General features: G+C 46.9%; 1 protein-coding gene across 8 annotated transcripts in view; it reads right to left on the bottom strand.

The window, feature by feature from the left end:
• The window catches only part of CCDC63 (coiled-coil domain containing 63), a 63,050-nt gene continuing 45,808 nt past the window's right edge, over nt 1,468–18,709 (bottom strand). For 7 of the 8 annotated variants that reach the window (XM_011538001.3, XM_011537999.2, XM_047428443.1 and 4 more), the window contains 4 exons: nt 15,853–15,927; nt 9,878–10,070; nt 4,212–4,415; nt 1,468–1,672 (listed from right to left, as the gene is read on the bottom strand). In XM_011538001.3, coding sequence (XP_011536303.1) covers nt 1,527–1,672; nt 4,212–4,415; nt 9,878–10,070; nt 15,853–15,927 — 618 coding nt within the window. In that variant the 3' untranslated portion in view covers nt 1,468–1,526. Of the gene's footprint in view, nt 1,758–4,211; nt 4,416–9,877; nt 10,071–15,852; nt 15,928–18,709 lie in introns of all 8 variants that reach the window. The other variant, XM_006719263.3, reaches the window with a different exon arrangement.

Here is an 18,709-nt window from a genome sequence, read left to right as displayed (position 1 = left end):
GCTGCAGAGACCTGGGGCCCCTTTCAAAGCAGGCTGCGTGGGCAGGGACCCAGGGGAGTCATGGCCCCATCCCCATGACCCAGGACACCCCACACCCTGTGGTGACCCTCGCCCCTCACGGCTTCCCTGCACTCCAGAGTTGGTCCAGGCCGAGAGCCTCATACCCGGGCTCCTGTGGTCAGAGATGCAGTCCGGCACCAAGAAGGCGGGACTCAGGACACTCCAGGGCAGTGCGTGGTTCTGGGCAAGACACCCTGGACTCAGCTCCACAGTGACATGCTCACCCACGACAGACACACGCAGAGACAGAGACATGCAGAGACACACAGAGAGATACAGAGATGCACACAGATACACAGTGAGCTGAGATCACACCACTCACTGAGCTGAGATCACTCCAGCCTGGGCAACAGAGCCAAACTCCGGCTCAAAAAAAAAAAAAAAGAGAATCCCAAGAACAGGTACAGACTTGCAGAGACATACAGAACACACAGAGACAGAGACACAGGGACATACAGAGATGCACACAGAGATACAGAGACACACACAGATACAGACACGCAGAGACACACAGACAGGGACACACAGAGACATACAGAGACACACACAGAGACACAGAGATGCACACAGATACAGACATGCAGAGACACACAGAGAGAGAGACACAGAAACATACAGAGACACACACAGAGACACACAGATAGGGACACACAGAGACACACACAGAGAGAGCCACAGAAACATACAGAGACACATAGACAGGGACACACAGAGACATACACAGGTGCAGACATGCAGAGACACACAGAGACAGAGACACAGAGACATACGGAGATGCACGCAGATACAGACATGCAGAGACACACACGGACACAGAGATATACAGAGACACACACCGGTGCAGACACGCAGAGACACACAGAAACAGAGACACAGAGACATATGGAGATGCACACAGATACTGAGACACACACGGGTACACACATACATGGACACACAGACACAGAGACACACTCAGATACACAAAGAGATATACACAGACATATATACAGACACATAGATACAAACACACAGAGACACAGACACTCAGAAACACAGATATACACACATGTACACAGACACACCCAGAGTAGCAGATCCAGCACGCCCCCAGCTCCCACTTCCCATTTGTGAGTGTTTGCCACACCTCGGGTGGCCAGGGGCGTCTCAGGATCCACACTTTGGCTCCAGCATGGCCCCTCCCCCGGGCTAGTCCCTGTTACATCTGGTGGACCGCATCTGCATCCATGTCTCTGCATATCTGGGGGTGGCCTGTGCTGGTCTCCAGCTCAGAGGTTTCCAGGGGCCTTGATGGACTCACATGGTTCCCACTCCCTGTTCCCGCTTTTACTTCTCGCTCCTCGGCCCCAGCCCAGAGGTGGCCCCAGTACCCAAAGCCCTTAGTAATGTGTGTGACAGGCACGAGGCTACAGAACAAAACATTTATTCTTTCGGTTATGTTGCAAAGGTGGCCCCATGCATGCACCTCACATGGTTACTTTCTTCCTGGATCTGAAGTCATCCACCTTCTCAGGCAGGCTGTCTCCGCGCACTTCCTTACTCCGATTCTCCTTCAGGATATAATTGTCGAGAACCAGCTGCCGAAGGCTGCTGTGGTCCAGGGGCTGTTCCACTGCACCAAGATCAGATTTGTGTGAGGTGCTGGGAAATCAACCCCAGGGCTGGGGCTAAGCCTGGTTTGGCGTCCCTCCATAGCACTGGGGAGTGGAGCATGGAAATTCTCAGGTTTCAAGGAGGGGGAGAATGAACAGAAATATACTTCTTGGGGCTGCCCAGACAATGACTAGTTTTTCTCCCAGACAAGGATGTGAAGAATGTCTGGTTTAATGTTAAGGAGTTAGGGCCACCATGTGCAGTTGTTCAGGATGTGCACTGCACAAAGACACCTGAGGAGAGCGGTAGATGGATGGGCTGAAATCCAGCCCCCACTTGATTGCTGAGCCATAGCTACCCAGAAGGGGCAACTTTTTCTAATTTAATCTACCCAGAAGTGGCCCTTCTAATTCACACCTGTAGGCCATAGAGGCCAGTGGGCTGGGAGAACCTAATGTTCATCAACATTCCCTTGAACAGATGTGAAGACAGTATCTGTACATTTCTGACCTTGTGAGGACGACTTAACCAGCAGCTTGGCCCACCTCTCCCCCCAACCTTTTAGGAACTGAAAGGGCGGTGGAAGTTGTGCTGAGATGGGTGGCATCTGACCTAGCTTTCACTCCTGCTGCGTTTCAGTCTCCTCAGCTGAAACACACAGGATCTCTGTGTGTGCGTGTGTGTGTGCATGTGTTGTGTGCATGTGTGTGTGTGCACGTGTGCTTGTTGGGGGTCTCTACATCCTTGGCACACTTGAAATGCTGCTCAGAGAAATGGGGGCAGCTTTTAAAAAATTGATTTTTTCCCCTACTTACTAAAGTCATGCAAGGTCATTGTAAGAGAAAATTTCAAACAATACAGAATTGTTTAACTTAGAAATGCAACATTATTTGCAAACCACCATCCAGAATTATCCACTGTAACAGGTGGCTTATACACCTCTGTTTGGTTTTTTATGCATAATCTAGAAACCTTCCTCCTTCCCTTTCTCTCATCGCCCCTCCCTCCTCCTCCTCCTCCTCCTCCTCCTCTTCCTGCCTCTGAGCCTTCCTCCCTCTCTCCCTCTCCCTCCCCCTCTCACATGTCTTATATCTCTTATTACGTATCAGGGTTGTGAAGTGCTGTCCTGTGCATTGTGAGATTTTTAGCAGCATCCTTGGCCACTAGATGACAGCAGCACCGTCACTTTCAGTTGTGACAACCAAAAATATCTTCAGATATTGCCAAATGTCCCATAAAGGGTAAATCACCCCTGACTGAGGACTACTGGCAAAAAAAAAGTATATATATTATATATATATTATATATTATATTATTATAATATATAATATATATTATATTATATAATATATATTATAATAATATAATATATATTTTATATAATATATATTATAATAATATAATATATATTTTATATAATATATATTATATATAATATAATATATATTATATATAATATTATATATATACACACACACATATATACACATACACACACACATATATATACATACACGTGTGTGTGTACACACGCATGTGTGTGCCTGTGTATTGCATGCATATGTAGAGAATGTTTTTAGAAAGATGGGATTATACAATACAGTACTTCTCAGGATGCCCAGACAATTGTGCAACTGACTGTTTTCCCTTTTTGTCTTAATATCAAGGGCATCTTCCTAGTCTCTTCATATTGGCCCTGTGCCTTATTTTTGGGGCTGCTTAGAATTCCACTGCATGGGTGGATGAGCTGGACCTTATTTAACCAATCTCTAAGGGGTGGGCATTATACTTGTTTCCAGTTTGGGGCTGCAGTGAACAGCCTCCACTCCTCCACCTTTCATCTTCCACCCTTGAGTAGTCCTTCTGGAAGGATCGGTTCCCATATATGTGGCCAAACTGCTCTCCAAAAAGCAGGTGAGGTCAATTTGATTCCCACCTTCAGAGTGAAGGCCTGGCTCCCCACATGAGGAGGATGAGTGAGTTTCCACCTTGGAAAAGAAGGAAGATCAATGGGCTGGTGTTGGAAGAGCCACAGTTGACCATTTCGCTTCTGGCATGGACCAGGTTGAAGCTGCTTCAACCGTGGGGTTAGGGGACAAAAATGGGGAGGGGCCAAGGATGGGTCCTGGAGGCACAATGGGTCAGGGAAAGGGTGGTCATAGGTGAGTGAGACTCAGGAGCATAGATAGGGTGAGCATGAGACACTGAGTCTGGGAACTCTGTTTACTCATAACTTGCCAACTTGTAAACTTTTGATATTTTAAGGTTCATTTTAAATGATCAAAAGGTAGTTTTGACTTTTAAAAATATCCAAAATAACTAAACTTCAGGATCTGTGTCACCCTAGCATCATAGAGAGAAAAGTCCCCAAGCAAGTGACACCAAGTGACCACAGCCAAGATGGCACCCAAGGGAACTGGCAGGCCACAAGAGCTCATAAAGAGAGGAAACCGAGGTTCAACACTGCAGACCCTCTCGGGCACCTGGACACGGTCTCCCCAGACCTGAAGGCACAGGTTCCCTAGCAACCTGTGCAGATTGAGAGAGAGAGAACTCACCATCATCCAACCTGTCGCTGAAGGGGTCAGCCCCCAGCACTGGGGGGATGACTTTGATGGGTTCTGGGGGCTTGAGGAGGGCAGAGCCACCCCAGAAAGGGTTGATGAAGGGTGGCGGGATCTCAGCCTCTGCCCCTTCCACTTCCAGGATGCGCCTGTAGGTCTCCAACAGCAGCAGGTCGTTGGTCTTCTTTTCAATGATGGCTGGAGAACAAGAAGCAGGACCAAGATGGCTGCCGAGAGACCTGGGCCTGGGGGCACTGTGGGTGGTGCCACCACTGCAGAGGGCGGGGAGGAGCAGGAAGTACAGGAGGTGCGGGATCTGGGCTCTGACAAGGAAAAGGCTTTCTCCTGGGCGTCACTATGCATTCTCAACAGGACAACATCACTCCTCACCCTTAGAGGCTGAAATTTGGTTCTTGAGAGAAAAATAATTGACTTTTTTTTTTTTTTGACAAGGTCTGGCTCTGTTGCCCAGGCTGAAGTGCAGTGGCATGATCTTGGCTCACTGCGACCTCAAACTCCCAGTTCAAGTGATTCTCCTGCTTCAGTCTTCCGAGTAGCTGCAACCAAAGACATATGACACCGTGCCCAGCTAATTTTTGTATTTTTTATAGACACTGTGTCTGGCTGATCTTGAACTCCTAGGCTCAAGTGATCCTTCCGCATCAGCCTCCTAAAGTGCTGGAATTACAGGCGTGAGCCATCGTGCCTGGCTTCTGACTTCTTAATGTATACAACACAGATACGCACAGGACATAAGCAGACATACGGTATCTCAATGATATTAAAATGTTACATTCACAAGGAGGGCAATTAGGAAAATATGTCTAGAGAGGCTCCTTAGCAGGATGATGACGAAAAGAAGGTTGAGAAACACCAGGTTACACTAAAAATTGGGAGCCCCACCTTAAACTCCTGGCTTGCCCCAGTGTTCTCTGTTTCAAGTCTCCAGGCCTTTGCTTATGCTGTTCCTTCTGCCAGAATGCCTTTCCCTACACACTTCCTGAATAACCCCCTAGAGGTGTTTTAAAACTCAGGTCACTCCTCGCTACCTGCAGGAATGCTTCCCTGGCCTGCCTCATTCAGGGGACATCCCCTTGCACTGTAGCTCCATAGCCCCATGCAGTCACAAGAGCATTCATTCACTCACTCATTCATTCATTCATTTGCAAATGATTACTCAATGTCTACCACGCCATGCACCGTGCTAGACGCTAAGGATGCAATGGAGGAAAAACAAAACAATGACAACACTAACAACAAAAATACAGCCCTTGCCCTACCAGAGCTTCAGTATGTATGGAGGCATAGAAAGAAAGCCAAGTTCAACAATTGAACCAATCACTACAGGCAGCCCTGGCCATCCCGATGTTCATTATCTGATTCAATAACTACTGGATTTGGGTATGTTTTTTGAATAAACCTCACACTATCCAGACTGCTGCTATTCTATCTGAAAATCAGGGATCAAAAATATTACCATCCAGGCCGGGCACAATGGCTCCTGCCTGTAATCCCAGCACTTTGGGAGGCTGAGGCAGGTGGATCACTTGAGTTCAAGACCAGTCTGGCCAACATGGTGAAACCCTGTCTTACTAAAAAACAAAAATTAGGCCAGGTGCAGTGGCTCACACCTGTAATCCCAGCACTCTGGGAAGCCAAGGCGGGTAGATCACTTGAGATCAGGAGTTCGAGACCAGCCTGGCCAACATGGTGAAACCCCATCTCTACTGAAAATACAAGCTGGATGTGGTTGCTCAGGCCTATAGTCCCAGCTACATGCGAGGCTGAGGCAGGAGAATAATTTGAACCTGGGAGGCAGAGGCTGCAGTGAGCCAAGATTGTATCACTGCACTCCAGCCTGGGTGACAGAGCGAGACTCCATCTTAAAAAAAAAAAAAAAATTAGCCGGGCGTGGTGTCGGGCACCTGTAATCCCAGCTACTCGGGAAGCTGAGGCAGGGGAATCACTTGAACCTGGGAGGAAGAGGTTGCAGTGAGCCAAGATTGTGCCACTGCACTTCCACCTGGGCAACAGAGTGAGACTCTGTCTCAAAAAATAATAAATAAATAAATAATATTGGCAACCAAAATTTGCTATCATATCTCAGGAACCACATAGATTCAGATATTGAAAGCAACCTGTCCATAGAGACAAATTGGGTAAATGCTAAACACTAGGACTGCGGTGAGAGGGAATAATAGTGGTCGGGGGGAGTAGGGGGTGAAGCTTCAGATGGGTGGGGACAGGGCAGCTTCAGTGCAGGGAGGACAATGAAACTGAGATTTGAGAATGTGGAGGAACTGGGCATGGGACAGGTCTTCCAGGAACAGCCTGTGCAAAGGCCCCAAGGTAGGAACAAGATGCAGGGGCAGCAATGGATTTGGAAGGATCGAGAGGAGGATAGTGTGGCTACAGGTGAGCCAGGGACAGAGCAGGACAAGAGGAGATCAGAAATATAAGCAAGGCCAGGCTAGAAAGAACCTGATAGGCTGTGTGCAGAAAAAAGTCAACACAGCAGGGTGAGGCTTTCTCCTCTGAAAGCCTTGCTGACCAGGTCAGGCTTGGGCTGGCATCCGGGAACCTGGATTTCAGCAGGATTCCCAACACCATTAACTGATAAGAGTGGCTCGCCTGAATGGATAAAGAAAATGTGGTGGCCGGGCGTGGTGGCTCACACCTGTAATCCCAGCACTTTGGGAAGCCAAGGCAGGTGGATCACCTGAGGTCAGGAGTTTGAGAACAGCCTGGCCAACGTGGTGAAACCCCATCTCTATTAAACATACAAAAATTAGCCAGGTGTGGTGGTGGGCGCCTATAATCCCAGCTACTTAGGAAGCTGAGACAGGAGAATAACTTGAACCCAGGAGGCAGAGGTTGCAGTGAGCTGAGATCATGCCATTGCACTCCAGCCTAGGTGATGAGAGCAAAATTCCATCAAAGAAAGAAAGGAAGGAATGAAGGAAGGAAGGAAGGAGAAAGAAAATGTGGTACATATACATGATGTATATGTACAAAAAAAGAATGAGATCCTGTCATTTGCAACAACATGGATGGAACTGGAGGTCATTATGTTAACTGAAATAAGCCAGGCACAGAAAGACAAACTTCACACGCCCTCACTTATCTGCAGGATGAAAAACAATGAACACATGGAGATAGAGACTGGAAGGATGGTTATCAGAGGCTGGGAAGGTCAGTGGCAGGTGGGAGGGAGGTGGGGCTGGTTAATGAATACAAAAAAACAGAAAGAATGAGCAAGACTGGGCACAATGGCTCCTGCCTGTAATCCCAGCACTTTGGGAGGCCAAGGCAGCGGGATGACTTGAGTACAGGGGTTCGAGGCCAGCCTGGGCAACATGGCGAGACCCCATATCTACAAAAAAAAATAAAAATAAATAAATAGATAAAATAATAAGAACTAGTATTTGATAGCATAACAGGGTGACTATAGTCAAAATAATGTAATTGTACATTTTAAAATAACTAAAAGAGTATAATTGAATTGTTTGTAACACAAAAGATAAATGCTTGAGGGGATGGACGCCCCGTTTTCCATGATGTGATTGTTGTGCGCTGCATGCCTGAATCACAATATCTCATGTACCCTACAAAATACACACCATGTACCCACAAAATTTAAAAAAAATTTTAAAAGAGTGTCTCACCATGCCTAAATAGTTTGCACTATATGGTTTATCACATGGTTCACACTAACACATTGCTTTGCCAATTTTGTTCTGTACCCTTTTACTGTAATAAATCATAGCCATATGTGTGACTATATACTGAGTCCTGGAAGTCCTCTAGCAAATCACTGAATGTGGCCAGGAGGCTAGAATGTGTTTGGGGAACCTCCCAAACACAGAGTGTACTAAGAATCTGATGTTTGGCTGGGCGCAGTGGCTCACGCCTGTAATCCCAGCACTTTAGGAGGCCAAGGTGGGTGGATCACGAGGTCAGGAGATCGAGACCATCCTGGCCAACATGGTGAAACCCCATCTCTACTAAAAATACAAAAATTAGCTGGGCGTGGTGGCGTGTGCCTATAATCCCAGCTACTTGGGGGGCTGAGGCAGGAGAATCACTTGAACCAGGGAGTCAGAGGTTGCAGGGAGCTGAGATCGCGCCACTGCATTCCAGCCTGGGTGACAGAGTGAGACTCCATCTCGAAAAAAAAAAAAAAAAGAATCTGAGGTTTAATTCAAGGAGCAGTGGAAGCCATTCATTCCAAATTGTCAGGATCTATGCAGGTATGCCCCTCCCTGTCCTCTCTGAGCTTAGGGTCAATGCCTAGAAATGTATGTGATTGCTAATAGATTTGCTACATGCCAGGCACTACTCTGAGCACTTTATTCCTTCCTTTCTAATTTGTGTGCCTTTTATTTCTTTTCCGTGCTTTATTGCATTGGCTAGGGCCTCCAGTACAGCACTGAATAGGCATGGTGACAGCACGCAGACATCCCTTCCTTGTTCCTGATCTTAGGAGAAAAACATTCCACTTCCCACTCCCACCAGGAAGGATAAGATTCGCTGTAGTTTTGGGTGTTATTATTATTATTTTTTTGGTTTGCTTGAGACAGAGTCTTGCTCTGTTACCCAGGCTGGAGTGCAGTGGCACAATTTTGACTGACTACAACCTCCACTTCTCAGGTTCAAGCAATCCTCCTGCCTCAGCCTCCCGAGTATCTGGGACTACAGTGTACACCACCACACCCAGCTAATTTTTGTATTTTTAGTAGAGACAGGGTTTCACCATGTTTGCCAGTCTGGTCTTGAACTCCTGACCTCAAGTGATCTGCCCGCCTCGGCCTCCCAAAGTGCTGGAATTACAGGTGTGAGCCACTGTGCCTGGCCTAGTTTTGGGTGGTTTTTTGTAGATGTCTTTTATCAAGTTAAGAAAGTTTCCTTCTAGTTCTAGTTTGCCGAGAGTTTTCTTTTTTAAAATCATGAATGGATGTTGAATTTTATCAAATGCTTCTACATTTATTGATATGATAATATCATTTTTCTCTAATAACTATACATTTATTTAAGCCTCCCAACAGTCTTATGAGGTAGATACTGGGTTCACACCAATTTAAAAAAAAAAAAAAAAGAAGGCATTAAAAGAGACCCATTTTTGTCGATCAAAAATCTGAAGCACAGTGAGGTTCAGAAACCTGCCCTGGCCAGGTGCAGTGGCTCATACCTGTAATCCCAGCACTTTGGGAGGCCAAGGAGGGCGGATCACTTGAGCAAAGGAGTTTGAGACCAGCCTGGGCAATGTGACAAGATCCTGTCTCTACAAAAAATACAAAAAATCAGCCGTGTATGGTGGTGCATGGCTGTAGTCCCAGCTACTTTGGAGGCTGAGGTGGGAGGATCGCCTGAGCCCAGTAGGTTGAGATGGCAGTGAGCCATGATTGGGCCACTGCACTCCAGCCTGGACAACAGAGCAAGACCCTGTCTCAAAAGAAACAAAGCAAAACCAAAAAACAAACCTGCTTAAGGCTCCAGAGCTGGTAAGTGTAGACCCAGGATTCAAACCCAGGCAGGCTGGCTTTAGTGCCCACACACTTTGCCACAAAGCTCACTACTCCATAAGAGCAAGGCCTTATGCTCAGTCACAGAAAGTTCTGGAAATGTTTCCTAAGACTCCAACGGGCCCCAGCTTGACTCACCAAAATACTGCGGAAGGTTGATGTCAGTGACTTTCCCCGTCTCCCCTAACTGCACCAGGATCTTGGTGGCGTCACAGTTTATCTTCTTGAACAGTTTCTCCACTGAGTTCTTCAATAGATCCAAGGTCTTGCTGACCTCCCCGTACTTGCTCTCATACATATCTGCCTCCTCCGTGGTCTTCCTCAGTTTATCCTGGTGGCAGACCCCAATTCCCACCTGCTCAGGAGGACTTTCAGTGGGCAGGGTGTTTGGGACCCTCTGGGGTCAGGGTCTCCAAACTGCGGGTTTTCAAACCTCTGAGGGGACACGAGATCAATTAAATGGGTTCCCATCAAATTTTAAAGAAATAAAATAAAATAGAATAGCAATGAAAGGGAGAGAAGAAAAAATACTAGTGTACATTGAGGGTCGTAATAGTAAATATTGTTCAATGTAAGTTTTGCTTCACTTACTTGTCTATGTGTGTCTACATGTCTACAGGATTACGAATTTTTTTTTTTTTTTTTTGAGACAGAGTCTCACTCTGTCACCCAGGCCAGAGTGCAGTGGCATGATCTCAGCTCACTGCAACCTCTGCCTCCCAGGTTCAAGCAATTCTCATGCCTCAGCCTCCCAAGTAGCTGGGATTACAAGCAGGTGCCACCATGCCCAGCTAACTTTTTTTTTTTTTTTTTGTATTTTTAGTAGAGACGCAGGCTGCTCTCAAACTGCTGATCTCAAGTGATCTGCCCACGTTGGCCTCTCAAAGTGCTGAGATTACAGGCATGAGCCACCACGCCCAGCCTACAATATTTTTTAAAAGCTGTTGACTCTTTAATTTTTATTTATTTATTTTTGAGACAAGGTCTCACTCTGTCACCTAGGCTCCAGGCTGGAGTACAGTGGCCCAATCTCGGCTCACTGCAGCCTCAACTTCCTGCACTCAAGCTATCCTCCCACGTTAGCCTCCAGAGTAGCTGGGACTACAGGCAGACGCCACCATGCCCAGCTAATTTTTGTATTTTTTTTAGAGATGGGGTTTCACCACGTTGCCCAGGCTGGTCTCGAACTCCTGGATTCCAGCAATCCTCCCACTTTGGCCTCCCATTGTGCTGAGATTACAGGCATGAGCCACCTCGCTCAGCCAGTTCACTCATTTTTTAAAAAATGGTGATCCACCTGAGGCCAGAAGTTCAACACCATCCTGGCCAACATGGTGAAACCCTGTCTCTACTAAAAATACAAAAATTAGTTGGGCATGGTGGCATGTGCCTGTAATTCCAGCTACTGGGGAAGAGGCAGGAGAATTGCTTGAATCCAGGAGACGGAAATTGCAGTGAGCCCGAGATCATGCCACTGCACTCCAGCCTGGGTGACAGAGCGAGACTCTATCTCAAAAAAAAAAAAAAAAAACAAGGTGGTCCACAGGAAGAAATACATTGCAGCCAACACATACAAACATACATACGTATGTTGTGTATGTAGATTTATCCATATTATCTAATCAAATGAATATAAAATTTCACAAATCAATATTTTAAAAAAGCACAGTTGGGGTCTTGCTCTGTCACCCAGGCTGGAGTGCAGTCATGTGATCATAGCTCACTGCAGCCTTGAACTCCTGGACTCAGGTGATCCTCCTGCCTCAGCCTCATGAGCAGATGGGACTACAAGCATGCAACACCACACCCAGCTAAGTTTTTGGGTTTTTTTTTAATTTTGTAGAGATGGGATCTTGCTGTGTTGCCCAGACTGGTCTTGAACTCCTGAGCTGAAGAAATCCTCCTGCCTCAGTATCCCAAAGTGCTGGGATTACAGGTGTGAGCCACCATGCCAGTTCAAATCAATATTCTTTTTTTTTTTTTTTAATAAAATTAGAGACAAGTTCTTACCATGTTGCCCAAGCTGGTCTCAAACTCCTGGGCTCAAATGATCCTCCTGCCTCAGCCTCCCAAAGTTCTGGGATTAACAGATGTGAGCCATTGCACCCAGCCTCGAATCAATATTTTTATTATGTGTTCTAATATTTTCTCTTCTGTTCTGTTCTATCTCACTATTTTAAAATGTTGGCTACCATCCAATAAACTGATTTTACCATTCACAGTTTAAAACACATTGCCCTAGCCCAGTGGTTCTTAAAGTGTGGTCCCAGGACAAGCAGCATCAGCTTCACCTGGGAACTTGTTAGAAATGCATATTCTTGGCCCCCACCTCAGTCTTACTCAGTCAAAGGCCCTGGGGGTGGACCAGGCCACCTGGTTTTAGCAAGCCTCCCGGTGATCCTGGTGCACAGTAAAGTCTGAGAAGCTCTGCCAGCCTGTTGGATCTCAGCCTTGGCTTCACACTGGTATCACCTGGGAACTTTAAAAATATTTGCTGCCCAACTCCACCCTCAGTGATTCAGAGTCTTAATTGGCCTGGGGCGCAGCCTGGGCATCTGGGAGTTCTCATTAAAGCCTCCCAGGTGATTGTGACGTGCAGCTGGACTGAGGATCACTGTTCTAGGGTATTTCCTTCCCTGATTCCTGCCTCTCCCTCAGAGATCTTAGCTTGCAAAGGTGAACTGGACCCTGGGTGAACCAGCCCCATTCCCACTGGTGAACTCTGCACGCACCATCCCGGATAATGATCTCAAGGGGTCGGCCCTATTCACACCCCTATTTTACAGGTGAGAAAACTGAGGCTCTGAGGCATACAGCCAGGAGAAGGAAGCCAGGAATTGAGCTCAGTCTCTCAACCAGCACATCAGGTGGCTTCCTCCACCCGGCTACTAGAATGTTTAGTTCCCAGGGCTGCAAATTTCCCATATGACAAGAGCGGCCCTTTCTAAAGATGCATTAGGCCAGGCATGGTGGCTCACGCCTATAATCCCAGCACACTAGGAGGCTAAGGTGGGAGAGTCACTTGAGCCTGGGAGGTTGAGGCTGCAGTGAGCTGTGATCCCACCACTGCACTCCAGCCTGGGCGACAGAGCAAGACTCTGTCTCAAAAAATAAATAAATTATAATAAAAGTGCATTTAAGAAAATCACAATTTTAAAAAAATCACAGGATTCATTTTTTAAAAGTCAATGTTCAGCTTGATGTGGTGGTTATAATACATGTCTAGCTCCTAAAATATTCCAGGTACTTTACACACATCATCTGAACTCAGCCTCATAATCGGCCTAGTTTTCAGATGAGGAATGTTGAGGCCAGAGAAGAAAAGTGAATTCAGGTTTAGCTTCCCTGTACCAAGCTCATCCAAAGGCTTGACCTTGAGCTCAACTCTTCACTTTGGCAATTATTTAGTAACAAAGTGAGGGTGACTTACCAGTTTTTCTGGCTCACATGATAACAACAACAATAATAATAGCTACAATGTACAGCTCTCTGCATTACAGTGTGCCAAATGTATACATGTGTGATTTTATTCAACCTTCACAGCCCTAAGAAGTAGGTATGATTATTATCCCCATTTTACAGATGTGGAAACTGAGGCTCAGAGAGGTTGAGTCACTACCTCAACGTCACAGAGCTAGGAAGTGACTTTTCTGCAAGTCATAGCCAGGCTCCCAGAGCTTGGTTGCTTAATTCCTATGCAAAACCCTCCCATGATGGATGTGGTCCCACCACTTCTCCCAAAGGGAAGGAGATGATGAAATAAAGGGTTTCAAGAATAGAGCAGGTGGAAGTGATCTTTAGCAGGGGGTAGGAAACATCTGTGAGTCTATTGCTATCAAGACTGATTCTGGCCAGGCACAGTGACTCACGCCTATAATCCCAGCACTTTGGGAGGCCAAGGCGGGCGGATCACCTAAGGTCAGGAGTTGGAGACTAGCCTTGCCAACATGGTAAAACCCCGTCTCTACTAACAATACAAAAAATTAACCGGGTATGGTGGCACGTGCCTGTAATCCCAGCTACTCGGGAGGCTGAGGCAGGAGAATCGCATGAACCCGGGAGGTGGAGGTTGCAGTGAACCGAGATCGTGCCACTGCATTCCAGCCTGGGCGACAGAGCGAGACTCCGTCTCAAAATTAATTAATTAATTAATTAAAATTAAAAAATAAATTAAAAATTAAAGTTATCTCGGCATGGTGGTGTGCACCTGTAATCCCAGCTACTCGGGGGCGGAGGCAGGAGAATCGCTTGAACCCGGGAGGTGGACGTTGCAGTGAGCGGAGATCGCGCCACTGCACTCCAGCCTGGGCAACAGAGTAAGACTCCGTCTAAACAAACAAAGAAACAAACAAAAACAATTATCCTGCTTAGAGTATCTGCATTTGAAAAGAAGCCCCTCAAAGTCATGCTAAAGCCAAAGTAACAAAAAGCTAGCGGTGGGGCTTCAGGCAGAGGCGAGGGAGATGTTTGGCTTTGCCTGATCAGCCTGTTCCAAACGCCAAGATGTAGAGGGGCGCCAGTCTCAACCTCAACAAGAGTCTGGATTCTGGGTGGCCCCGAGTGAAGGACGTGGGCCCCAGGCATCTGCCCAGCTTGGGGAGGGTCTCCGTGGACCTGGACCCTGCCTGGAACCCTGTTATTCCCCATACCCAGATATCCGGGAGATGCCGCTCTGAGCACCTCAATGGGCAGCATGTGCTTTGCTGCCATCCAGTGGCCTAGAGGAGAATAACACCCTGGCGGCCATCCCTGTCTCCCAGGTGCGCGTCAGACAAAAAAAGCAGAAAACAGCCGCAAAGAAGGGAAGGGAAATGACTCCGGAGGGCAGTTGCCAGGTCTTTGTCAGACATATGCTATCCACTCTTTCCTTATACCTCAGTAACAAAACTCTGATTGTATTTAGGGTGGCAATGTGACCAACTAAAAGTTACATTTCCAAACCTCTCTTGCAATAGGGGTGGCCAATGAAGTTTAAATACAGAAGTCATTGGCTGAGACTTCTGGGAAGGCACTTTTAAGCTGTCTGACTCTGCTAGTGAGGATTTTTGTTGTTGTTGTTGCAGCTCCCACTTTCTTCCTATCTGGAATGTATATGCAACGGCTGGATCTATGGCAGCTACGATGCAACCATGAGGTGCCCTTGGAATATAAGTCACCCACTAAGGATGGCAAAACAGAAAGACGGAGCCCAGGTCACTGATGACATCATAAAGGTGCCATACCAGCCCTGAAGTGCCTATTTCCAGACTTATTTCCTTTTTTTTTTTTTTTTTGAGACAGGGTCTCACTGTGTTGCCCAGTGCAGTGACACGATCTCGGCTCACTGCAACCTCCACCTCCCAGGCTTAAGCAATTCTCCTGCCTCAGACTCCCAAGTAGCTGGGATTACAGGTGTGCGCCACTACCACCTGGCTAATTTTTGTATTATTAGTAGAGATGGGGTTTCACCAGGGTGGCAGACTTATTTCTTAAAGTAAATAAACTTGTATCTTGCTTAAGCCACTATTATTTGGAGTCCCTATTATTAGCAGCTGAATAAAGCTCAAAACGTATACAATATCCCAGCTCCTTGATGTTGGTCAAGTGACTTAACTTCCGTGAACCTTAGCCTCTGCATCTGTAAAACGACGAGATCAACAGCACCTGCCACCAGGATTCAATGAAAGTGCAAGCCAAGCTCTTAGCCCGGCGCCTCGTACATGGTAATTACTCCAGAAGTGTGTGTATTTGCTATTACTGATTGAGAACAGGGCACAGGCAGGACAAGGGGAAGAAAGAGGGAAAGAGGCAGAGATCCATGTGGAAGGAGCCCATCAGGGATGAAATTGCAGGCCCAAGAGCCCGGGCTGGACTCCCTGAAAAGGGGGGTGGGGGCTTTAGAATGGAAGAAGGGACAGAATTCCACAATGACATTGTAGCAGAGGCTGCCCGGGACAAAACGTCAGGACATGTCTGGATGTGATCCAGGCCAGCCTGAGTCATGGGGCAGACCTCTTACTGCTCCTGAGAAGCAGCTGACAGATGCCCGACGGACAGACAGACAGAAGCTCCCGTCAGACACAGAGACAGACAACAGAAGCTCCCGCATCCCTCCCTCCCGATCCTGTTCTCACCTCCAGCTGTCTCAGGACAGAGTGGTTGTCATCGTGGGACAATTTCTGCTGGGATCGCAAGAGGATGATCTCGTCCTGCTCGGGAGAGAACAAGACCATGAGGAAAAGTGGGCTCTTCCCTCCCCACTGCTCCCAAAAATAAGTGTGCGCCTCAAAGAGTCGATGAGGATTTCAATGATCCGTTTCAAAGAGCCCCAAACACCTGGGCCCCTCTTAGGCCCGTGGGGTTATTATTTTTTTTTCTTCTGATGTTTCTTAAGTAAAAGGAGGGTGAGAGCATGAAAGGGGGTGGGAGGGGTGAGTCATCCTTTCTTTCTTTATCTTTTTTTTTTGAGATGAAGTCTCGCTGCGATGCCTAGGCTGGAGTGCAATGGCACAATCTTGGCTCACTGCAACCTCCTAGATCTCCCAGGTTCAAGCGATTCTCCTGCCCCAGCCTCCTGAGTAGCTGGGACTACAGGCACGCACCACCAAGCCCAGCTTTTTGTATTTTTACTAGAGATGGGGGCTTCACCATATTGGTCAGGCTGGTCTCAAACTCCTGACCTCAGGCGATCCGCCCGCCTCAGCCTCTTCTGGAAAATTCTAGAACAATGCAGTCAATAGAATTTTCTGTTCTGATGGTAATGTCCTATCCACCCTAATACTGTAGTCACTAGCCACATGGTGCTGAGCACTTGAAATATGACTGGTGCCACTAGGAACTAATTTTTCTTTTTTTTCTTTTTTTATTTTTATAGAGATGGGGGGTCTCACTATGTTGCCCGGGCTGGTCTCGAACTCCTACACTCAAGCAATCCTTCCGCCTCAGCCTCCCAAAGTGCTGGGATTACAGGCCCACAGTGGCACAGAGCCACTGTGCCCAACCTCTGATGAACTAATTTTTAGATATTGTTTAATTTCAGTTAATGTAACTTAAAAAGCCACACGTGGCTGGTGGCTATGGTATTGAAGAGTGTGGCTGTGGAGTGGGAGTTCTCAAACCTGAGCATACTCTCAGACTCTCCAGAGTCACCTGGAGGCTTGTGAAAATGCAGAATGCCAGAACCCATGCCCAGGGCTTCCGATTCTGTTGGTCTGGGTGGGGCCTAAGAATGTACATTTCTAACAAGTTCCCAGGTGATGCTGCCACTGCTGTCCCAGGGACCAGCTTTGAGAACCACTGGGCTTAAACCATGTGCTCTGATAGAAAAAAGCTCACACCTTTCGACCGACCAATCTCATGCCTAGGAGTCTGTCCCATGGAAATAACAGAACAGGTCGGCAAAGGTGGACCCTCAGGGCTGTCTGTTGTATTCTTGTTTATAGTGGCCCCCAGTTGGGGACAATCAAATGTCTACTGATAGGGGGTCAGTTAATGATGGCACATTCATAAAACAGGGGAGAGGGTCTTGGGTTAAAATATGGCTAAAATGCAGATTCCTGGCCCATCCACAGAGAAGCTATGTCTGTAGGTATGGGAGGGGTTCTGGGGAATGTGCTTTTCTTCTTCTTCTTTTTTTTTTTTTTTTTTTTTGAGAAAGGGTCTCTCTCTGTCACCCAGGCTGAAGTGCTGTGGCATAATCACGGCTCACTGAAGCCTTGACTGCGATCCTCCCATCTCAGCCTCTCAAGCAGTTGGGACCACAGGCACATGCCTGACTAATTTTTTAAAAATTTTTCTGTAGACACGGAGTCTCACTATGTTGCCCAGGCTGGTCTTGAACTCCAGTGCTCAAGTAATCTTCCTGCCTCAGCCTCCCAACATGCTGGAATTACAGGTGTGAGCCACTGTGCCTGGACAGGAATGCATTTTTTTTGTTTTTTGGTTTGTTTGTTTGTTTGTTTGTTTGTTTGTTTTGAGACAAGCTCTTGCTCTGTTGCCCAGGCTGGAGTGCAGTGGTGTGATCTCAGCTTACTGCAACCTCTGCCTCTCGGGTTCAAGCGATCCTCCCATCTCAGCCTCCTGAGTAGCTGGGACTGCAGGCATGAGCCACCACACCCAGCCTGGAATGTGCATTTTTAAGAAGCATCTTGTGATTCCATGCTACAGAGCATCTAGGGTCTCCAGAAGCCATTAAAAAAACACAGCAGGCTGGGCATGGTGGCTCATGCCTGTTATCCCAGTGCTTTGGGAGGCCAAGGTGGGCAGATCACTTGAGCCCAGGAGTTTGAGACCTGCCTGGGCAATATTGTGATATTCCATCTCTACAAAAAAATACAAAAATTAGCCAGATGTAGTGGTACATGCCTGTAGTCCCCAGATACTCGGGAGGCTGAGGTAGGAGAATCCCTTGAGCCCAGGAGGCGGAGGTTGCAATGAGCCGAGATCCCGCCACTGCACTCCAGCCAGGCGATAGAGCAAGATCCTGTCTCAAAAAAAAAAAAAAAAAAAAAAGAAAAGGAGGAAAAAAATAGAAGATGTTGGGAGGTATCTATGGTAAGTTGTTGGGAAACAAAACGTTTACAGAATAGCATGAACTGTCTAGTATGATCTAGTACTACAAACAGGCTTGTAAATGGGCGTGTGTGTGTGTGTCTGTCTATGTGTGCAAACGTGTAACCACACACTGCCTTCATAAAGCAGTGTCAATAAAATGTTAATTATCTCCAGGTCATGATATCTTGGTGACTTTTACTTTTTCTTTATGTTTTTCTGAATTGCCTACACTTTCCCACAGGTGTATAATAATATATTTACACAATTTGGAAAATTCTACAAAGAACAAATACAAACCCAAATCAGGAAGAATCCCATCTCCTAACATAGCATTGCTTCATGTTTTTGGTAAGAGCTCTATCTTGCTTTTTTTCCCCCTGTAAAGATTGGAAGGCTCATCTCCTTTAATTTTTAAATTTTTTTTTTTTTGAGACAGGG

This window comes from Homo sapiens, chromosome 12 (assembly GCF_000001405.40).
Source record: "Homo sapiens chromosome 12, GRCh38.p14 Primary Assembly".
In the NCBI taxonomy this organism is placed as follows: Eukaryota; Metazoa; Chordata; class Mammalia; order Primates; family Hominidae; genus Homo; species Homo sapiens.
Note: the sequence above shows the minus strand (reverse complement) of the source record. Positions and strands in the feature narration are given on the sequence as shown.